Source organism: Homo sapiens, chromosome X (genome assembly GCF_000001405.40).
Source record: "Homo sapiens chromosome X, GRCh38.p14 Primary Assembly".
NCBI classification, from domain to species: Eukaryota; Metazoa; Chordata; class Mammalia; order Primates; family Hominidae; genus Homo; species Homo sapiens.
Genome location: NC_000023.11, coordinates 57,133,108 through 57,157,279, shown reverse-complemented (window position 1 = coordinate 57,157,279; position 24,172 = coordinate 57,133,108). Strand labels below are relative to the sequence as shown.

Below are 24,172 nucleotides of genomic sequence, written 5' to 3'. Positions count from 1 at the left end.
CAGATGCTGTGGAATGGAATTGAGATTCAGCAGGACACCAGCTGCAGTTGGTGTGGAGGACCTGTGTGATCCCTCTCCCAATTCCACATAGTGCAGCTCAGAGAAAGACTCTTTCCACTTGGGCAAAGGAGAAATAAAAGTACAAGGGACTTGGTCTTGCAACTGGGTATCAGCTCAGCCACAGTAAAATAAAGCACCAGATCAAATACTGAAGCTTCCAATTCCAGAATTTTGTTCCTGTACATCATTATTAAACCCACCCTGACGAAGAAGGCAATCTGCTGCCCTGGTGGGATAGAACAAGTTCTGGCTGGATTCGCCATCTACAGACTAAAATGTATTTGGACACTGAATAAACATTAGCAGTAGCCAAACAGTGGCAGCTGTGGGCCTTTGGTGAGGTCCAGTACTAGTGTCGGTCTGGAAAGCCCTGGGCTTCAAGTGCAACCCAGCACGGTGACAGGTGCAGTGGTCATAGGAGTGCCTGTGTCACCTCTCCCCCAACTCCAGGCAGCCCAGCACAGAGAGATTCCATCTGATTAGCAGAAAGAGAGGTAACAGAGCAAGAGACTTTGCTTGGAAAACCAGGGAATTCTCTCTTATCTTTTCCAAGTCCACAAAGGCTGTGTATCTAGGAGAATGCAAGAGTTGCAGCATACCAGGGCTCAGGCTGCCACCTAGTGCTGAAATCGCTACAGTCACCACAGGCTTAGGTCACTTAATACTGTATCCTCTGAATTCTTGGAAAACCATTTCCAGAAGATTCAGTATGAACAAGGCCAGACTGCAAAGACTGAAATAAATACATAACTCTTCAATGCCCAGATACTGAAGAATATCCACAAGCATTAAGAACATCCAGGAGACATGATATCACTAAATGAACTAAATAAGACACTAGAAACCAATCCTGAAGTGCCAGAGATATAGAACCTCTCAGAGGCAGAATTCAAAATAGCTATTTTGTGGAAGCTCAATGAACTGCAAGATAACACATAGAAGGTATTCAGAATTCCATCAGAGATTTTACCATAGAAGCTGAAATCATTTTAAAACATCAAACAGATATCTTAGAGCTGAAAAATTCAATTGACAGAATGAAAAATGCATGTGTGTCAATAACAGAGTTGATCAAACAGAAGAAAGAATTAGTAAGCTCAAAGACGTGATATGTCAAAACACACTACCAGAGGATGAAAAAGAATGAAATATGAGAAGGAAGTGAATTGCTCCTGCAAGACCCAGGAGACAGCTCAAATACTGTGAGTGCCCAAACTGTGAAAGTGAGAAAGGGGGATCATGTACCCCTGAACACATACCCTTACAGAGTAACCTGAAGGTCTAGATCACGGGAGAAGGATTTCACCTTGCCTTGAGCTGAGTAAATTTATAGAGCCGAGTGAAATACAGGGGTAGAGGAGAAGCAGGAAAAGCCCTGTGGGCTCTCTGGGTCCCCAGGGAAGCTATGTCTGACTTGTCTCACAGTGTTCCTTGAGGAGGGCTGCCAGAGGAACTGGGAAAAGATCACAGTAGCCAGAGGAACTGGGAAAAGATCACAGTAGAAGGAAACCTCCAGCTGAACTTTGTAACAGTTCCAACTGAACCCAAAGTCTCCTGGCCAGAACTTGGGGGATGACGTGAAACTCGTGTGCAGACTCAAAGGCAGGGAGCCCTGCTTTTTTCTCAGCCTGAAGGCTAGTAGTAGCCTGGAGCAAGTTCTCAGCCCAGCACGCCCCACTGCCTGGAAACAAACTCAGTGCTATTGGGGCATGGTGGGAGTGAGACTAGCCTTTTTGGTTGCGTGGGAGCTGGGTGAGGCCTCTAACTGCCAGCTTCCCCAACTTCCTTGATAACCTGCATGACAAAGCAGAGGCAGCCATAATCCTCCTGGGAAAATAACTCATTGACTGGGAATCACACCCCCATCTGCCATAGCAGCCACAGCAAGCTCCACCCAAGGAGAGTCTCACCTCAGACACACCTAACCCTGCCCCACTAGATGGTCCTTCCCTACCCACCTTGGTAGCTGAAGACAAAGGGCATATTCTCTTGGGAGCACTAGGGCCCCACCTACCACCTGATCCTCCATATCTCTTTAAAGTGTCACCTCGTGGCAGGAGGCCAACCAGCACAAAACCAGTGCATCAAACAACCACAATTAAAGACCCTCACAGAGTCCATTTAACTCTCCTGCCATCCCCACAGCAGCAGGTGCTGGTATCCCTGGATGAGAGACCTGAAGATAGTAAAGATAGTATACATCACAGGACTCTGGGAAGACAACCCCCAGTACCAACCTGGAGCCTGGTAGCTCTGCTGGGTGGCTAGACCCAGAAGAGAAATAACGATCACTACAGTTCAGCTCTCAGGAAGCCACATCCCCAGGAAAAAGAGGAGAGTACTACATAAAAGGAATACCACATGAGACAAAAAAAATCTGAACAGCAGCCTTGAGTCCCAGATCTTCCCTCAGACATAGACTTAACCAAATGAGAAGAAATTAAAAAAAAAATCTGGAAATATAACAAAACAAGGTTGTTTAACACCCCCAAAAACATTACACTAGCTCACCAGCAATGGATACAAACCAAGAAATCCCTGAATTGCCTGAAAACAATTTAAGAAAGTTGATTATTAAGCTAATCAATGAGGCACCAGAGAAAGGTGACATCCAATTTAAAAAAATAAAAATAAAAAGATACAACAAGGCCAGGTGTGGTAGCTTATAACTGTAATCCCAACACTTTGGGAGGCCAAGGTGGGCAGATCACCTGAGGTCAGGAGTTCGAGACCAGCCTGGCCAACATGGTGAAACCCTGTCTCTACTAAAAATGCAATAAAAAAAAAAAATCGCCAGGCATGGTCGTGGGTGCCTGTAGTCCCAGCTACTCAGGAGGCTGAGGCAAGAGAATTGCTTGAACTGGGGAGCAAAGGTTGCAATGAGCCGAGATCATGTCACTGCACTCTGGCCTGGGTGACAAAGTGAGACTGTGTCAAAAAAAAAAAAAAAAAGATACAACATATGAGGGGAGAAATCTTCAGTGAAATAGATAGCATAAATAAAAATAATGACAACTTCAGGAAATAAAGGACACACTTAGGGAAATGCAAAATGTACTAGAAGGTGTCAGCAATAAAATAGAACAAGCAGAGGAAGGAACTTCGGAGCTCAAAGACAAGGTTTTGCTTTAATTCAATCCAACAAGGACAAAGAAGAAAAATTTTTAAATGAACAAAGCTTCCAAGAAGTTTGGGATTATCTTAAACAACTCAACCTAAGAATAATTGGAGTTCCTCAGGAAGAAGAGAAACCTAAAAGTTTGGAAAACATATTTGGGGGAATATTCAAGTAAAACATCCCTGGCATTGCTACAGACCTAGACATCCAAATACAAGAAGCTCAAAGAACACCTGGGAAATTCATCTCAAAAAGATCATTGCCTAGGCAAATTGTCCTCAGGTTATCTGAGGTCAAGACAAAGGTAAGAATCTTAAGAGTTGTGAGGCAAAAGTACAAGGTAACCTATAAAGGAAAACAGATTAACAGAAAATTTCTCAGCAGAAACTCTACGAGCTAGAAGGAATTGGGGCCCTATCTTCAGCCTCATTAAACAAAACAATTACAAGCCAAGAATTTTGTATCCAGCAAAACTAAGATTCATAATTGAAGAAAAGACACAGTGTTTTTTAGACAAACAAAAGCTGAGAGAATTTGCCAATACCAAGACAGCACTACAAGAACTACTAAGGGGAGACTGAAATCTTGAAACAATCCTGGAAACACATCAAAACAAAACCACTTTAAAGCATAAATCTCACAGAACCCATAAAATTAAAATACAATATAAAAAAGGTATACAGGCAACAAATAATACAATGAATGGAATAGTATCTCACATCTCAATACTAACATTGAATATAAATGGCCTAAATGTTCCACTTCAAAGATACAGAATTGCAGAATGAATAAGAATTCACCAAGCAAGTATCTGCTGCCTTCAAGAGACTCACCTAACACATAAGGACTCACATAAACTTAAGGTAAAGGCATGGAAAAAGATATTCTATGCAAATAGACACCAAAAGCAAGCAGGTGTAGCTATTCTTGTAACTGAGAAAACAAACTTTAAATCAAGAGCAGTTTAAAAAGACAAACAGGGACATTACATAATAATAAAAGGCCTTGACCAACAGGGAAATATAACAATCCTAAATACATATGCACCTAACACTGGATCTTCCACATTTATAAAACAATTACTACCAGACCTTAAAAATGAGATAGATAGCAAGACGATAATAGTGGGGGATTTCAAAAGTCCACTGACAGCACTAGACAGGTCATCAAGACAGAGGTCAGCGGGGGGGGAGCCAAGGTGGCCAAATAGGAACAGCTCCAGTCTACATCTCCCAGTGTGAGCAATGCAGAAGACAGGTGATTTCTGCATTTCCATCTGAGGTACCGGGTTCATCTCACTAGGGAGTGCCAGACAGTGGGTGCAGGACAGTGGGTGCAGCACACCGGGCACGAGCTAAAGCAGGGCGAGGCATTGCCTCACTCGGGAAGCACAATGGGTCAGGGAGATCCCTTTCCTACTCAAAGAAAGGGGTGACAGATGGCACCTGGAAAATCAGGTCACTCCCACCCTAATACTGCACTTTTCCAACTGGCTTAAAAAATGGGACACCAAGAGATTATATCCTGCACCTGGCTTGGAGGGTACTATGCCCACGGAGTCTCGCTGATTGCTAGCACAGCAGTCTGAGATCAAACTGCAAGGCAGCAGCGAGGCTGGGGGAGGGGCGCCTGCCATTGCCCAGGCTTGATTAGGTAAACAAAGCAGCTGGGAAGCTCGAAATGGGTGGAGCCTGCCACAGCTCAAGGAGGCCTGCCTGCCTCTGTAGGCTCCACCTCTGGGGGCAGGGCACAGACAAAGAAAAATACAGCAGTAACCTCTGCAGACTTAAATGTCCCAGTCTGACAGCTTTGAAGAGAGTAGTGGTTCTCCCAGCACGCAGCCGGAGATCTGAGGACTGGCAGACGGCCTGCTCAAGTGGGACCCTAACCCCCGAGCAGCCTAACTGGGAGGTACCCCCCAGTAGGGGCAGACTGACACCTCACACAGCTGAGTACCCCTCTGAGACAAAACTTCCAGAGGAATGATCAGGCAGCAGCATTTGCAGATCACCAATATCCACTGTTCTACAGCCACTGCTGTTCTGCAGCCACTGCTGCTGATACCCAGGCAAACAGGGTCTGGAGTGGACCTGTAGCAAACTCCAACAGGCCTCAGGGTCCTGTCTGTTAGAAGGAAAACTAACAAACAGAAAGGGCATCCCCACCAAAAACCCATCTGTACGTCAGCATCATCAAAGACCAAAAGTAGATAAAACCACAAAGATGGGGAAAAAACAGAGCAGAAAAACTGGAAACTCTAAAAAGCAGAGTGCCTCTCCTCCTCCAAAGGAATGCAGCTCCTCACCAGCAATGGAACAAACCTGGACGGAGAATGACTTTGACAAGCTGAGAGAAGGCTTCAGACGATCAAACTACTCCGAGCTACAGGAGGAAATTCAAACCAATGGCAAAGAAGTTAAAAACTTTGAAAAAAAAATTAGACAAATGGATACCTAGAATCACCAATGCAGAGAAGTCCTTCAAGGAGCGGATGGAGCTGAAAGCCAAGACTCGAGAACTACATGAACAATGCAGAAGACTCAGGAGCCGATGCGATCACTGGAAGAAAGGGTATCAACGATGGAAGATGAAATGAATGAAATGAAGTGAGAAGGGAAGTTTAGAGAAAAAAGAATAAAAAGAAATGAACAAAGCCTCCAAGAAATATGGGACTATGTGAAAAGACCAAATCTATGTCTGATTGGTGTACCTGAAAGTGACGGGGAGAATGGAACCAAGTTGGAAAACACTCTGCAGGATATTATCCAGGAGAACTTCCCCAATCTAGCAAGGCAGGCCAACATTCAGATTCAGGAAATACAGACAATGCCACAAAGATACTCCTTGAGAAGAGAAACTCCAAGACACATAATTGTCAGATTCATCAAAGTTGAAATGAAGGAAAAAATGTTAAGGGCAGCCAGACAGAAAAGTCGGGTTACCCACAAGGGGAAGCCCATCAGACTAACAGTGGATCTCTCAGCAGAAACTCTACAAGCCAGAAGAGAGTGGGGGCCAATATTCAACATTCTTAAAGAAAATAATTTTCAACCCAGAATTTCATATCCAGCCAAACTAAGTTTCATAAGTGAAGGAAAAATAAAATACTTTACAGACAAGCAAATGCTGAGAGATTTTGTCACCACCAGGCCTGCCCTAAAAGAGCTCCTGAAGGAAGCACTAAACATGGAAAGGAACATCCGGTACCACCCACTGCAAAAACATGCCAAATTGTATAGACCATCAAGGCTAGGCAGAAACTGCATCAACTAACGAGCAAAATAACCAGCTAACATCATAAAGACAGAATCAAATTCACAAATAACTATATTAACTTTAAATGTAAATGGGCTAAATGCTCCAATTAAAAGACACTGACTAGCAAATTGGATAAAGAGTCAAGACCCATCAGTGTGCTGTATTCACGAAACCCATCTCACATGCAGAGATACACATAGGCTCAAAATAAAGGGATGGAGGAAGATCTACCAAGCAAATGGAAAACAAAAAAGGGCAGAGGTTGCAATCCTAGTCTCTGATAAAACAGACTTTAAACCAACAAAGATCAAAAGAGACAAAGAAGACCATTACATAATAGAAAAGGGATCAATTCAACAAGAAGAGCTAACTATCCTAAATACATATGCACCCAATACAGGAGCACCCAGATTCATAAAGCAAGTCCTTAGTGACCTACAAAGAGACTTAGAATCCCACACAATAATAATGGGAGACTTTAACACCCCACTGTCAACATTAGACAGATCAATGAGACAGAAAGTTAACAAGGATATCCAGGAATTCAACTCAGCTGTGCACCAAGTGCACCTAATAGACACCTACAGAACTCTCCACCCCAAATCAACAGAATATACATTCTTTTCAGCACCACATCACACCTGTTCCAAAATTGACCACATAGTTGGAAGTAAAGCAATCCTCAGCAAATGCAAAATAAGAGACATTATAACAAACTGTCTCTGAGACCACAGTGCAATCAAACTAGAACTCAGGATTAAGAAACGCTCTCAAAACCGTTCAACTACATGTAAACTGAACAACCTGCTCCTGAATGACTACTGTGTAGATAACAAAATGAAGGCAGAAATAAAGATGTTCTTTGAAACCAATGAGAACAAAGACACAACACACCAGAATCTCTGGGACACATTTAAAGCAGTGTGTAGAGAGAAATTTATAGCACTAAATGCCCACAAGAGAAAGGAGGAAGGATCCAAAATTGACACCCTAATATCACAATTAAAAGAAGTAGAAAAGCAAGAGCAAACACATTCAAAAGCTGGCAGAAGGCAAGAAATACCTAAAATCAGAGCAGAACTGAAGCAAATAGAGACAAAAAAAAATCCCTTCAAAAAATTAATGAATCCAGGAGCTGTTTTTTTGAAAAGATCAACAAAATTGATAGACCGCTAGCAAGACTAGTAAAGAAGAAAAGAGAGAAGAATCAAATAGATGCAATAAAAAATGACAAAGGGGATATCACCACCGATCCCACAGAAATACAAACTACCATCAGAGAATACTATGAACACCTCTATGCAAATAAACTGGAAAATCTAGAAGAAATGGATAAATTCCTCGACACATACACCCTCCCAAGACTAAACCAGGAAGAAGTTGAATCTCTGAATAGACCAATAACAGGCTCTGAAATTGTGGCAATAATCAATAGCTTACCAACCAAAAAAAGTCCAGGACCAGATGGATTCACAGCCGAATTCTACCAGGGGTACAAGAAGGAGCTGGTACCATTCCTTCTGAAACTATTCCCATCAATAGAAAAACAGGGAATCCTCCCTAACTCATTTTATAAGGCCAGCATCATCCTGATACCAAAGCCGGGCAGAGACACAACCAAAAAAGAGAATTGTAGACCAATATCCTTGATGAACACTGATGCAAAAATCCTCAATAAAATACTGGCAAAACGAATCCAGCAGCACATCAAAAAGCTTATCCACCATGATCAAGTGGGCTTCATCCCTGGGATGCAAGGCTGTCAACATACGCAAATTAATAAATGTAATCCAGCATATAAACAGAACCAAAGACAAAAACCACATGATTATCTCAATAGATGCAGAAAAGGCCTTTGACAAAATTCAACACCTCTTCATGCTAAAAACTCTCAATAAATTAGGTATGACGGGACATATCTCAAAATAATAAGAGCTATCTATGACAAACCCACAGCCAGTATCATACTGAATGGGCAAAAACTGGAAGCATTCCCTTTGAAAACTGGCACAAGACAGGGATGCCCTCTCTCACCACTCCTATTCAACTAGTGTTGGAAGTTCTGGCCAGAACAATGAGGCAGGAGAAGGAAATAAAGGGCATTCATTTAGGAAAAGAGGAAGTCAAATTGTCCCTGTTTGCAGATCACATCACTGTATATCTAGAAAATCCCATTGTCTCAGCCCAAAATCTCCTTAAGCCGATAAGCAACTTCAGCAAAGTCTCAGGGTACAAAATCAATGTACAAAAATCACAAGCATTCTTATACACCAATAACAGACAAACAGAGCCAAATCATGAGTGAACTCCCATTCACAATTGCTTCAAAGAGAATAAAATACCTAGGAATCCAACTTACAAGGGATGTGAAGGACCTCTTCAAGGAGAACTACAAACCACTGCTCAATGAAATAAAAGAGGATACAAACAAATGGAAGAACATTCCATGCTCATGGGTAGGAAGAATCAATATCGTGAAAATGGCCTTAATGCCCAAGGTAATTTATAGATTCAATGCCATCCCCATCAAGCTACCAATGACTTTCTTCATAGAATTGGAAAAAACTACTTTAAAGTTCATATGGAACCAAAAAAGAGCCTGCATCACCAAGTCAATCCTAAGCCAAAAGAACAAAGCCGGAGGCATCATGCTACCTGACTTCAAACTATACTACAAGGCTACAGTAACCAAAACAGCATGGTACTGGTACCAAAACAGAGATATAGACCAATGAAACAGAACAGAGCCCCCAGAAATAATGCCGCATATCTACAACTATCTGATCTTTGACAACATTGTATCCAACAGCTGCAGAATGTACATTCTATTCATCAGCACGTGGAAAATTCTATGTAATAGGCTATATGATAGGCCAAAAAGAAGTCTCAACAAATTCTTAAAAATTGAAATTACATCAAGTACTCTCTCAGACTAGAGTGGAATAAAACTAGAAATCAACTCCAAAAGAAATCTTCAAAACCATGAAAATACATGGAAATCAAATAACCTGCTCCTGAATGATCACTGGGTAAACAATGAAATCAAGATGAAAATTAAAATATTCTGTGAACTGAATGATAATAGTGAAAGAACCTATAAATTTCTGGGATACAGCAAAAGTGATGCTAAGAGGAAAGCTGATAGCGTTAACCTACGTCAAAAAGTGTGAAAGAGCACAAATAGACAATGTTCCTAATGTCACACCTCAAGGAACTAGAGAAACAAAAACAAACCAAAACCAAACACAGCAGAAGAAAAGAAATAACCAAGATCAGAGCGGAATGAAATGTAATTGAATTAAACAAAACATTACAAAAGAAAAATGAAACAAAAAGCTGGTTCTTTTAAAAGATAAATAAAATTGATAAACCACTGGCAACATTAACCCAGAAAAGAAGAGAGAATATCCAAATAAGCTCAATTAGAAATGAAATGGGGGATATTACAACCGACACCACAGAAATACAAAAGATCATTCAAGGCTGCTATGAACTTGCGCATAAACTAGAAAACCTAGAGGAGATGAATAAATGCCTGAAAAGATACAAATCTTGTAGCTTAAATCAGGAAGAATTAGAAACCCTGAACAGACCAATAACAAGCAGCAAGATTGAAATGGCAATTTAAAAATTACCAACAAGAAAAAAAGTTCAGGATGGGACAAATTCACAGCTGAATTCTATCAGACATTGAAAGAACATAGGTACAAATCCTATTGGCACTATTCCACAAGATAAAGAGAGAATCCTTCCTAAATCATTCTGTGAAGTGAGTATCACCCTAACACCAAAACCGGGAAAAGACATAACCAAGAAAGGAAACTACAGACCAATATCCCTGACTAATATAGATACAAAAATCCTTAACAAAATGCTAGCTAACCAAGTCCAGCAGCATATCAAAAACATAATCCACCATGATCAAGTGGGCTTCATACTAGGGAATCAGGGATGGTTTAGCATAAGCAAGTCAATAAATGTGATACACCCCATAAACAGAATTAAATACAAAAATCACCTGATTGTCTCAATAGATGAAGAAAAAGCATTTGACAAAAGCCAGCAGCACTTTATGATTGAAATCCTCAGCAAAATCAGCATAGAAGAGACATACCTGAATGTAATAAAAGCCATCTATGGCAAACACACAGCCAACATTATACTGAATGGAGAAAAGTTGAAAGCATTTCCTCTGAGAACTGGAACAAGACAAGGATGCCCACTCTCACCACTTCTGTTCAACATAGTACTGGAAGTCCTAGCAAGAGCAATCAGACAAGACAAAGAAATAAATGCTGTCCATATTGGTAAAGAGGAAGTCAAACTGCCACTATTTGCTGATGATATGATCAGATACCTAGAAAACCCTAAAGACTTTCAAAAAGCTCCAAGAACTGATAAATGAATTCAGCAAAGTTTCAGGATACAAAATTAATGTACACAAATCAGTAGCTCTGCTATACACCAACAGTGACCAAGCTGAGAATCAAATCAAGAACTCAATCCCTTTCACAATTGCCACAAAGTAAATAAAATACTTACAAATATACATAACTCAGAGGGTGAAAGACCTCTACAAGGAAAACTACAAAACACTGCTGAAAAAAGTCACAGATAACACAAACAAATGGAAATACATCCCATCCTCATGGATGGGGAAAATCAATATTGTGAAAAAGACCATACTGTTAAAAGCAACCTACAAATGTAATGCAATTCTCATCAAAATGACACCATCATTCTTCACAGAACTAGAAAAAACAACCCTAAAATTCATATGGAACCAAAAAAAGAGCCTGCATAACCAAAGGAGGACTAAGCAAAAAAAGAAAAAAAAAAATTTGGAGGCATCACATTACCCAACTTCAAACTATACTATAAGGCCATAGTCACCAAAACAGCATGATACTGGTATAAAAACAGGCACATAGACCAATGGAACAGAACAGAGAACCCAGAAATAAACCTAAATGCCTACAGCCAACTGAACTTCAACAAAGCAAACAAAAACATAAAGTGGGAAAAGGACAGCCTATTCAACAAATGGTGCTGGCATAATTGGCAAGCCACATGTAGGAGAATGAAACTAGATCCTCATCTCTCACTTTATACAAAAATCAAGTCAAGGTGTATCAAGGACTTAAATCCAAGACCTGAAAGTGTAAAAATTATAGAAGACAACATTGGAGAAATCCTTCTAGACATTGGCTTAGGCAAAGACTTCATGACCAAGAACCCAAAAGCGAATGCAACTAAAACAAAAATAAATAAGTGGGACTTAATTAAACTAAAATGCTTCTGCACAACAAAAGGAACAGTCATCAGAGTAAACAGACAATGCACAGATTGGGAGAAAATCTTTACAATCTATCCATCCAACAGAGGACTAATATCCGGAATCTCCTGGGAACTCAAACAAATTAGCAAGAAAAAACAAATAACCTCATCAAAAAGCGGGGTAAGGACATAAATACACAATTCTCAAAAGAAGATATACAAATGGCCAACAAACATAAAAAATGATCAACATCACCAATGATCAGGGAAATGTTAATCAAAACCACAATGTAATACCACCTTACCCCCCCCCAAAAGAATGATCATAATCAAAAAACAAAAACTAATAGATGCTGGTATGGATGTGGTGAAAAGGGAACACTTCTACACTGCTGGTGGGAATGTAAACTAGTACAACCACTAGAAAAAACAGTGTGGAGATTCCTTAGGGAACTAAAAGTAGAACTAACATTTGATCCAGCAATCCCACTACCCACAGAAAAAGTCATTATACAAAAAAGATATCTGCACATGCATGTTTATAGCAGCACAATTCACAATTGCAAAAATGTGGAACCAGCCCAAATGTTCATCAATCAATGAGTGGATAAAGAAATTGTGGTGTGTGTGTGTGTGTGTGTGTATGCACACACATACATATACATACATATATATATATATATAGTGGAATACTACTCAGTCATAAAAAGGAATGAATTAACGGCATTTGCAGCAACCTGAATGGAATTGGAGACTATCATTCTAAGTGAAGTAACTCGGGAATAAAAAACCAAACATTGTATGTTCTCACTCATAAGTGGGAGCTAAGCTCTGAGGATATAAAGGCAGAAGAATGATACAACGGACTTTGGGAACACTTGGAAAGGATGAGAGGGAGGGCTGAGGGATAAACGACTGAAAATTGGGTTCAGTGTAAACTGCTCGGGTGATACGTGCACCAAAATCTCACAAATCACCAATAAAGAACTTACTCATGTAACCAAATACCACCTGTTCCACCAAAAACCAATGGAAATTTTAAAAATTATTAAAAAATAAAAAAGAATGAAGTGTGCTTACGAGATCCAGAAAATTGCCTCAAGTAGGGGAAAAAAAAACCCACAGAGTTACTTGCTTTACAGAGGATGTAGAGAGATCAGGGTAGAATGTTTATTCAAATAAATAATAACAAAAAGTGTTTCAAACCTTGAGAAAAAATATAAATATCCAAATACAAGAATGTTAAAGAACACCAAGAAGACTCAAACTAAGTAAGATGACTGCAAGGCATATAATAATCAAGCTCACAAAAGTCAAGGACAAATAAAGGATCCTAAAGTCGGCAAAAGAAAAAACCAAATAACATGTAAAGGACCTCTGACACATCTGTCAGCAGACTTCTTAGCAGAAACCTTGCAAGCCAGTAAAGAACAGGATGACATATTGAAAGTGCAGAAGGAAAAAACTGAAAGCTGAGAATACTGCCAGCAAAGTTATCTTTAACTTGAGAATATCCAGCAAAGTGATCCTTAAAACATGAAGTACAGATAGACTTTCACAGAGAAAAGCTGATGAAATTCATCAACAGACCTGTCTTTCAAGTAATACTGTGTTCTTCAATCTGAAAGGAAATGACACAAAAAGGCAAGAAATCATCTGGAGATCTAAAACTCACTGATAAATGTAGACACATAGATAAATTTGGAATATTATAGTACTGTACTTGTATATAAACCACTTATATCTTTACTGTGAAGACTAAAAGACAAAGCTATCAAAAATAATAACAGGCTAGGCATGGTAGTTCATGCCTATAATCCCAGCATTTTGGGAAACCAAGATGGGTCAATCACCTGAGATCAGGAGTTCAAGACCAGCCCAGGCAACATGGAGAAACCCCCTGTCTACCAAAAATACAAAGAAATAGCTTAGCATGGTGGTGCATTCCTATGGTTCTAGCTACTCAGGAGGCTTAGGTAAAAGGATCACTTGAGCCTGGGGGGCAGAGGTTGCAGTGAACCAAGATTATGTCACTGTACTCCAACTTGGGTGATAGAGTGAGATCCTATCTCAATAATAATAATAATAATACGAGCAATTTTAAGAGACAGACAATATAAAAAGATATATAGAAACAACAAAAAGTCGTAAGGGGGGATGGAGTTAAAGTGTAGCATTTTTTCAGTTTTCTCTTTTTTTCTCCACCATCGTCCGAGTTAAGTTGTCTTTAGTTTAAAGCAATTCGTTAGAATAGTCTTGCAAGTCTCCTCGTATCCATGAAGCAAAAGCCTGTAACAAATATACAAAAAATATAAAGCAAGGAATTAAGATATACTACCAGAAAAAAATCACTTATACACAAAGAAGGACAGAAATAAAGAAAAAAAGGACTTAGAAAACAAGCAGGAAGCAAATAACACAATGAAAGTTGTAAGTCCTTACCTATCCGTAATAATATTGGCAGTAAATGGAATAAATGATCTAATCAAAAGACCTAGAGTGGCTGAATGAATCAAAAAATAAGACCCAAAGTAGATTCTGTGTACAAGAAACTAATTTTACTGATAAAGACATACAACAGACCTAAAATTAAAGAATGGAAAAAAGATATTCTATGCAAATGGAAACCAAAATAGAGCAGGAATAACTATACTTATATCAGACAAAGTAGATGTCAAGCCAAAAACTGTAAAAAGAAACAAAGAAGGTCATTATATAATGATAAAGGGGTCAATACAGCAGAGGATATAATAATTGTAAATATATATGCATCCAGCACCAGTGCACAGAGATATATTTAAAAATATTAGTACAACTAAAGAGAGAGGTAGATCCCAAAACGATAACAAGTGTGGACTATAACACCCCACTTTCAACATGGTAAAGATCATCTAGACAAAAAAATTAACAAAGAAATATCAGACTTAATCTGCACCATAAACTTGGAGGACCTCTTACACACTTACAAAACATTTCACCCAAAAGGAGCAGAATACACATTCTTCTCCTCAGCACATGGAACATTCTCCAAGACAGACCATATGTTAGGCCACAGAATAAATCTCAACAAATTTTTAAAATATTAAAATTATATCAAGTATCTTTTCTAACTACAATGGAATAAAACAATAGAAATAAATAACCAGAATTTGAAAACTATACAAATACATGAATATTAAACAACATGTTCCTGAATGACCAATGGGTCAAGGAAGAAATTAAGAAGGAAATTTTTAAAGTTTCTTGAAACAAATGAAAATGAAAGCACAACATACCAAAACCTACAGAACACAGCAAAAGCAATACTAAGAGGAAAGACTGTAGCAATAAATGCCTAAGTCAAAAAAGCATAAAAACTTCAAATAAACAACCTAAAAATGCACCTTAAAGAAGTAGAAAATTAAGAACAAATCAAACCTTGAGTTAGTAGAAGGAAAGAAATAATAAAAATCAGAGCAGAAATAAAATTGAAACTGAAAGACAATGCAAAAGATCAATTAAACAAAAAGCTGGCTTTTTGAAAACATGACAAAAATCTACAAACCTTCAGCTAGACTAAGAGAAGACTCAAATAAATAAAATGACAGATGAAAAATTAGACCGGGGTGTGGGGGGCAAGGGGAGGGAGAGCATTAAGACAAATAGCTAATGCATGTGGAACTTAAAACCTAGATGATGGGTTGACAGGTGCAGCAAACCACCATGACACACATATACCTATGTAACAAACCTACACTTTCTTCAGTTGTATCCTAGAACTTAAAGTAACATTTAAAAAAAAGAAAAAGAAAAATGAGACATTATAATAACACAGAAAATAAAAAAATTGTTACAGATGATTATGAGCAGTGCCAATAAATTTAAAAACCTAGAAGAAATGGGTAAATTCCTAGACACATACAACCTACCAAGATTGAACCATAAAGAAATAGAAAACCTGAACGGACCAATAATAGGTAATGAGATAGCAATGGTAATAAAATATCTCCCATCAATGAAAAGCCCATGATCTTGTGGCTGCACTGCTGAATTCTACCAAAAATTTAAGGAAGAACTAATACAAATCCTACTCAAACCATTCCAAAAAATCAAATAGGAGGGAATGCTTCCAAACTCATTCTTGGAAGGCCAGCCTTATTCAGATGTCATAACCAAAGACACCCCAAAAAAGAACATTATACGCCAATATTACCAATAAATATACATGCAAAAATCCTCAACAAAATACTAGCAAACTGAATCCAACAACAAATTTCAAAGATCATTCACATGATCAAGTAGGATTAATCTTAGGGATGCAATGATGGTTCAACATACACAAATCAATAAACGTGATATATCACATAAATAGAATAAAGTACCAAAACCATATGGGCATTTCAATAGATGCCAAAAAAAATTCAATGAAATTTAACATCGTTTCATGAAAAAAACTCTCAACAAAATGGATATAGAAGGAGCATATCTCAAAAGAATAAAGGTCATATATGACAAACACAGCTAGCATCATATGAAATGGGAAAAAACCTGAAAGCCTTTTGTCTATGACCTGGAACAAGACAAAATGACTGCTTTTACCACACACAAAAAAATTAGTTTCATGGGGTACATGTGTGGGCTTTTTACATAAATACACTGCATAATGCTGGGGTTTGGGCTTCTACTGAACCCATCACCCAAATAGCTAACATAGTACTCGATAGGCAGTTTTTCAATCATTCCTCTCTTCCTCCCTCTTTTTGGAAATCCTAGTGTCTATTATTTACATCTTTATGCCCATATGCACCCATTTTTTGCCTCCCGTTTATAAGTGAGAACATGCAGCATTTGATTTTCTGTTTCTGCATTCATTCACGTAGGATAATAGCCTTCAGCTGCATCGCTGATGCTGAAAAGGGCATGATTTTATTTTCTGTGGCTGTGTAGTATTCCATGGTGCTTTTACCACTTTTTTTTTTTTTTTTTTTTGAGACGGGGTCTCGCTCTGTTGCCCAGGCTGGATGGAGTGCAGTGGCAGGAGCTCGGCTCACTGCAAGCTCTGCTTCCCGGGTTCACGCCATTCTCCTGCCTCAGCCTCCTGAGTAGCTGGGACTACAGGCACCTGCCACCACGCCAGGTTAATTTTTCTATTTTTTTTTTTTTTTTTTTTGGTAGAGATGGGGTTTCACTGTGTTAGCCAGCTTTCACCACTTTTATTCAACATAGTACTGGAAATTCTAACAAGAGCAATTAGGTAAGAGAAAGAAACAACACCCAAATTGGGAAGGAAGAAGTTAAATTCTCTTTATTTGCAGATAATATGATTTTATATTTAGAAAAAATCTAAAGATCCCACCAAAAACGAACTGTAACTAAGAAACTGATTTTATTTATAAAACCAACATACAAAAATCAGTAGCACAAATGCCAACTGTGTAAAAAAAGAAATCAAGAAAGCAATCCCTTTTACAATGACTACAAAATATAAAATACCTAGAAATAAACTAAACCAAAGAAATGAAAGATGTCTGCAATAAAAATTATAAAACATTGATACAAAATAAAGACAACACAAAAATAGAAAAGTATCCATGTTCATGAGTTGGACTAATTAATATTGTTAAAATGTCCATACTACTCCAAGTTATCTACATATACATAAACTCAATCTCTGTCAAAACACCAAAGACATTCTTTATGGAAACAGAAAATAAACAGTCCTAAAATTCATATGGAGCTACAGAAGGATCAGAATGGCCAAAGCAATCCTGAAGAAAAAGAACTAAGCTGGGGCATCAAATTACCTGACTTCAAATTATACTATAAACCTATGGGGACAGGCGTGGTGGCTCACACTTGTAATCCCAGCACTTTGGGAGGCCAAGGCGGGCGGATCACGAGGTCAGGAGATCGAGACCATCCTGGCTAACATGCTGAAACCCCGTCTCTACTAAAAATACAAAAAAATTAGCCCAGTGTGGTGGCGGGCACCTGTGGTTCCAGCTACTCGGGAGGCTGAGGCAGGAGAATGGCGTGAACCCAGGAGAAGGAGCTCGCAGTGAGCCAAGATTGCACCACTGCACTCCAGCTGAGCAAGACTCCGTCTCAAAAAACAAACAAACAAACAAGCAAACAAAAAACCTGTGGTAACCAAAACAGCATGGTACTGGCATATGAATAGACACCACAAAATAGAGAACTCATAAATAAATCTATGCATTTATAGTCAACTTATTTTCAAAAAAGGAGCCAAGAACACACACTATAGAAAGGACACTCTCTGTAATAAATGTTGTTGGGAAAACTGGGTATCCATACACAGAAGAATGAAACTAGACATATCTATCTCTCACCATATACAACACTCAAATCAAAATGGATTAAAGACATAAATCTAAGACCTGAAATTGTGAAGCTACTAGAAGAAAACTTTGGGAAAAAGCTTCAGGACATTGGTCTGAGCAACGATTTCTTGAGTAAGACCTCAAAGCACAGGCAAAGGAAAAATGGGCAAGTGAAATCACATCAGCTAAAAAGCTTCTGCACAGCAAAGGAAACAATCATAAAATGAAGAGACAACCTAGGTAACAAGAGAAAATATTTACAAAGTATTCAACTGACGGGATTAATAATAAAAATATGTAAGAAATTCCAACAACTCAATAGTAAAAAATCAAATAATCTGATTTAAAAATGGGCAAAAGAGCTGAGTAGACATTTCTCAAACTAAGACGCACAAATGGACAACAGATATATAAAAAGTATTCTAAATCGCTAATCATCAGGTAATTGTATATCAAAATAGCAATGAGATATCATCTTACCCCAGTTAAAATGGCTATTATCAAAAAGACAGAAAATAAAAACTGCTGGTAAGGAAGTGAAGAAAGAGGTATCCTTGTAAATTGCTCGTGGGGATATAAATTAGCATAGCCATTATGAAAAACAGCGTGGTAGTTCCTCCAAAAACTAAAACTACAAATTCCCTAAGATCCAGCAATCTCACTATTGGGTATATATCCAAAAGAAAGGAAATCAGCATATCAACGAGCTATCTGCACTCACATATTTATTTGCAGCACTGATCACAATAGACAAGATATGGAATCAACTTAACTGTCCATCAATAAATAAATGGATAAAAAATGTGATATATATATATATATAATAAAATATTATTCCACCATAGATTAAGATTAACCTAACACTTATTTAACTTTTCAGATGTTAGCCAACATATTGTTTTTATTGTACACCCATTTGGTTTGTTGTCCTACAACATGTAACTGAAAACATCTTACTTGATATAGCAATCTAATATTGTTGATTATTTTCAGAATTATAGGATACTGTGAAAAACTGTAACTCACAAAAAAACACACAAAAATTAAAAATGACTTCACTTTATGCGAAATAGATAAGGTTTGTTAAGTATTGTAATCACATTCAAAAATAACTCTTTAAGCTTAAAATAAGCCAATACTTCTTCAAAGCAAGGTCTCCAAATCTAAAATATGCCTACATAATGCTTTGGAGAAACACTTAATGTATGTATTCGTGAGTGTGTATGCATATACAGAGAATTATATCTGTGAGTTATGTGATTGGATAGAGGTGTGTATTTGGAATTAAGAATCTATGGATAGGAATTTCTGGAACTGTACACAGAATTCATAGTTTTATACATGTGCATGTGCTTGGAGATATATATATATATACATACATACACATTTGCATATGGTCGTAAAGGATTCATGTCTCCATAAATGTATACACATGGTATTTCTATGTTAATTTGTATGTTTCCAAAGAATGTGAGAAATGTCTGAAAGATGGAAAACAGATGGAGCAAGAGAGCTGAGGGGAGGGGCTAGAGAGCTTGAAGGATCCAGCCAGCAGAGACAGGAAGAGAGAAAAGGCCACCTACAGGTTCCACTGTTGTGAATTGTGGAAAGGGAAGGAGGAGCCCAGGAGGGGCCCCAAGAAAAGAAAGGCAGATCTGCTCTGTGATTAGAATGGAAGACATCACTACTAAGAGGAAACTAACACTGTAGTCTTGTGCAGAAAAAGGGCAGAGACTACAGCCACTGCATCAGGGACTGGTGGCAGCCCAACGTGGCTGAGGGGTGGCCGCCACCAACAGGGAGGTAGACGGCCAGCGAGCGAAGCGCTGGGGACACCGCTGCAGTGCTCTTTGCCTGTCTCGCCGCGCTCCTACACACGCTCCTCATCTATGGATCCTACCCTCCCCGCTCTTGCAAGCAGTCACTCAGCGAGTCGCCTGTTGACCCTCCTTCGCCACAGGCTCACAGCAGAGGCAGCATCGAGGTATCCGATTTCGGCACGTGAGGCCCGCGATCCCCGGCGGTGGACGCCAGGCAGGGCAAGGCCATTAGTGGGCGCCAGAATGGAGAGGGGGATGGGAAGGAATCCAGCAGGAGACATGGGGTGGAGTTGGGCGCCAGGCAAGGGTGGGGTGGGGGAGTGCGGTGGACGACAGGGAAAGGGGGTAGGAATAGGAGCCAGACAAGGATTTGAAGGTGAGCGCCAGGAAGCAAGGGAGGTAGGTAACAGGGAAGTGGTTAGGATAGGCAGTGGGGGTTACAGACAGCACCAGAGGCACTCAGGGCAGGAGGGTAGTGGGTGCTGGTCAAGGCCGCTTTGCAGGGGATTGGGAGTGGATGCTAGTGGCAGTAAAGGGTAAAGGGAGGGCAGTGGGCTCTGAGCTAGGAGGAGGTGGCCCAGCCACTTCTGCAGAGTTCCTAACCCCAGACAGCTCTACTGCACCACCCCAGCCCTTCCCCACAGCCCAAAGGAACTTAAGAGGGAGAGCACTGCGGGCATGCAGCCAGGATTTCCAGCATTGCTTCCAGGCTCCTAGGGGAAACTTAGGCACTAGCGCAGACTACATCCAGACATGGCTATAGGGAAAAGTTTGCCTTGTGGCACACTGGGTGTGTCTCTCTATCCTCTCTCCTCCCCCAGCAGGCATGAAGACCCCCAACGCACAGGAAGCCGAAGGGCAACAAACCAGGGCAGCTGCAGGACGGGCCACTGGGTCTGCAAACATGACAAAGAAAAAAGTCTCCCAAAAGAAGCAGAGAGGCCGACCTTCATCCCAGCCCCGCAGGAACATCGTGGGCTGCAGAATTTCTCATGGATGGAAGGAAGGAGATGAGCCCATCACGCAGTGGAAAGGAACCGTTCTGGATCAGGTGCCTATAAATCCCTCTCTTTATCTGGTGAAATATGATGGAATTGACTGTGTCTATGGACTGGAACTTCACAGAGATGAAAGGGTTTTGTCTCTTAAAATTCTTTCTGACAGGGTGGCATCATCTCACATTAGTGATGCCAACCTTGCAAATACCATAATTGGCAAAGCAGTGGAACACATGTTTGAGGGAGAGCATGGTTCTAAGGATGAATGGAGGGGGATGGTCTTAGCTCAAGCACCTATCATGAAAGCCTGGTTTTATATTACCTATGAGAAAGATCCTGTCTTGTACATGTACCAGCTTCTAGATGATTATAAGGAAGGTGACCTCCGCATCATGCCAGAATCCAGTGAGTCTCCTCCAACAGAGAGGGAGCCAGGAGGAGTTGTAGATGGCCTAATAGGTAAGCATGTGGAATATACCAAAGAAGATGGCTCCAAAAGGATCGGCATGGTCATTCACCAAGTGGAAACCAAACCCTCTGTGTATTTCATCAAGTTTGATGATGATTTCCATATCTATGTCTACGATTTGGTGAAAAAGTCCTAACTGTTAGGGTAAAATTTGGCACATGTGTGGAAACAAATGTATAATTTGTAGACATGCAAAAAATGTTGCCTTTCAGTGTACTGAAAGCTTATGGAATCCCTGATAACTAAACATCTTTGCCAGCATTAACTGTTGTTTTGCTCTAAAAAATACAAATTTGTGAATACATGACATGCTGTCTGTAAGCCCTTTGTCTTGTTGAAAAGTTCGGGTGTGTTTGGTAGATGGGGCATGGAAGGAACGAACAGCTGTCAATTTCGGCTGTGAATAAAGTTCAGCTAGAATCATAATCAGTCATTTAAAAATGGCACTGGATTTAGCTGGTCTGGTCTGGAGGGGGCAGGGGAAGGAACAAGAGATTGGCTGTCTTGGGGAGAGAGGAGGAGGTGACTGCTTAGGAAGAGGTGGAAAAGGGCCAGAAAGGGAGGGGCTCCTTGGGGGAGGGGATGACCTATGAGAAGGAAACATCCAACTCAGAAGGAAGACTAACAGAGGGAGAGTGAGATCTTGGGGCTTAGAGGAAAATAGAATAAACTGAGTAGAGAGGAACACAAAGAAGCTTAGAAGAGGGTCCAGAGTAAGGTGGAGAAGGATCAACCTGACAGGGATCTGGGAGAGGCTAAAGGATACACAAAGGAAGAGGCTATGTGGGTTAGGGTGTTGGAGGGATTAGAAGAGGGCCACTGAGGAAGGAGGAATTCAAAGAAGAAAGACTGACAGAGGGAGTGAGAATACAGGAAAAGAGTTGTGGGGTATGGGGCCCATGAGAGATCGGAAGGCCCAGGAAAATGTTGGACTTCTGGTAGTGTCCACATTGCTCTTCCTGGCTCTATGCACAAAGGAAGTGGCAACTGTCAAAGATGCCAGATGCATTGGAGGTTCACTAGAAGAGCATGTTGACAGGAATGACTCAGTCAAGTTAATCAGGAGCCAAGTTTATGCCCATAAGGCTTTTCCTGTTTCAGGGAGTTAATGACACACTTGTCCAGCAGAAACCCAATGCTCAGCCTAAACACGCTAACATGGTGCCCCACATGTGCTGGGCTGTGGGCTGCCTCCTCACATTTGTCCTGCGCTAGATAAGCAATCTTGGTAGAGGATGGGTTAGTGGGGCTCTCAGAACTTAAGAGATGTGCCATCTTGCATTTGGAAAGTACTTTATCCAGAAAAAATGAAATCTTACTGAACTCAGGTACAGCAGTCTCATCACTCCTATTCCTTCTGCTGGAATGTTTGTTTTCTATCTAGAGATGAGGGGCATCAGAGGACTGAGCCTAGTGTTTCTCTCGAGGGTATGGGGAGTACTTGCCTGTCCATGCTTCTTTTAGCAGCTGCCTGAAACCATAGGTGGCTCCGACCAACGATCCACTAAAAGAAACCTGCTGTCCCAAGAAGCCACATTCTGGTTAGACCTTCCCCACAAAGCTGGTGTCTGCAGACCCCTCACAGGCACCTGTTGGCCAGTCTTGCCTACCCCAGCTCACAGAGACCTGTGATGGAATTCTGGTCAGCTCTTTGTTTCCAGGTGAGGCAGATGCCATGGGGCAGTTGGGCTGGGGGTTTTGACTTGGTATAACTAACTCATTCAGCTGTATAATGTCACAAAAAAGGGTCAAGGCTGGTGGGGAGAGGGAGCAGCAACCCACAAAAAGTCCCTCAAAACTATGGTGTCTGATGCAAAGATAGATCTGTGTCTTTCTCTTTCTCCCCTCCTTGCCTTTCCCCAGTCTTTCTCCTATAGCCCATCTGAAAACCCGCCCACTAGTTTCTGCAACTTCACCCTTCACTAAATTATACCTCTGACACCAAAGAAAGAGTGCTGGTGACGCCCTGCTGCCCAGGTTACCGTAACTCCATGCATAGTGGGAGATGCAAGGAGCTGCCAGGAGTTGAAAGAAGGTGGTAAATAGAGTTTATTCTCTCCACCCAACATGGCCTGAGGCTGACTGCCTCAAGAATTACACAAGGCAAGCCTACTTCACCGTAGCAGGGATTAATTTTCTTGTATACATCACACAATTCAGTCCAACAAATACCAGCTGGCTGCCCAGGGACCAATCTCAGACAGCTGCCAGGTTTTTTTCATCTTTGTGTTTTCATTATTTTCTATTTTTAATTAGGTACTTTAGACATTTGAGAGATTTCACACGATGAAAATTTATGTCTCTGGTATCTCCTGAAATTGAAACAGAATGACAACAACAACAAAAACAAAAACGTGAGGATTAGGGCCCTCATTCCAAAAAGGATACATGCAGCTGGGCCTTAGGTAGGTCTCAGTCCAGTTTAGACTCCGAATACCCTCTCCAGTTGGCCACACCCCCAGCTGGCCTGCTTTACTCTAATAAAAGGCACAGTCATTCCCTGGAAGCGTTTGCACTTGTAACTGGGGCCACACCCTGGAAAAACTGCCCCTTTGACTTGCTTTGATCCCATTTGCTTTTTAATTTACTTGTTTTATCTTTACCCCACAAATACTTACTTCAGGTGGGCTCTCTGCCAGGCACTCTTCTAGGCACAGATACTGATGATGTAATCATGAATGAAAGAAGCAAACTAAAATTCTTACCCTCATGGAGGTTTCATTTTAGTGTGGGGGACAGACAGTAGCCAAAATAAATAAGCAATTATAATGTATTTTCATAGTGTCTAGTGTTAAATAGAAAAACATAAAGCAAGGAATTGGGATAGAAAATTTCAGGAGGGAAGCTGA

The 24,172-nt window shown here is 40.3% G+C and overlaps 2 protein-coding genes across 8 annotated transcripts in view, besides 1 other annotated feature; one reads left to right on the top strand and one right to left on the bottom strand.

Moving 5' to 3' along the window:
- FAAH2 (fatty acid amide hydrolase 2) overlaps positions 1-24,172 on the bottom strand; it is a 367,606-nt gene that overhangs the window by 331,917 nt on the left and 11,517 nt on the right. The window lies entirely within an intron of this gene.
- On the top strand, positions 10,100-23,015 carry SPIN2A (spindlin family member 2A). Of its 7 annotated transcripts, none has more exons than XM_005262019.4 (2): positions 10,100-20,075; positions 20,681-21,630. In XM_005262019.4, the coding sequence occupies exon 2, from the start codon at positions 20,683-20,685 to the stop codon at positions 21,457-21,459; it is 777 nt and encodes a 258-aa protein (XP_005262076.1). In that variant the 5' UTR covers positions 10,100-20,075; positions 20,681-20,682; the 3' UTR covers positions 21,460-21,630. The 7 variants fall into 7 exon arrangements, with proteins under 7 accessions (XP_005262076.1, XP_016885087.1, NP_061876.3 ...); XM_017029598.2 differs by having other exon boundaries at positions 19,883-20,020; NM_019003.5 differs by having other exon boundaries at positions 19,883-20,020; positions 20,678-21,630.
- Positions 15,071-15,300: a silencer, noted in NCBI's record as "fragment chrX:57168413-57168642 (GRCh37/hg19 assembly coordinates)". NCBI's record gives its function as "represses an EF-1alpha promoter that drives an FKBP-Casp9 reporter gene in an ReSE screen in K562 erythroleukemia cells {active_cell/tissue: K562}" and the evidence as "EXISTENCE:reporter gene assay evidence [ECO:0000049][PMID:32094911]".

Excerpts from the sequence above, each read along its gene's own strand:
- SPIN2A (XM_005262019.4), top strand. The coding sequence starts at position 20,683 with ATGAAGACCCCCAACGCACAGGAAGCCGAAGGGCAACAAACCAGGGCA.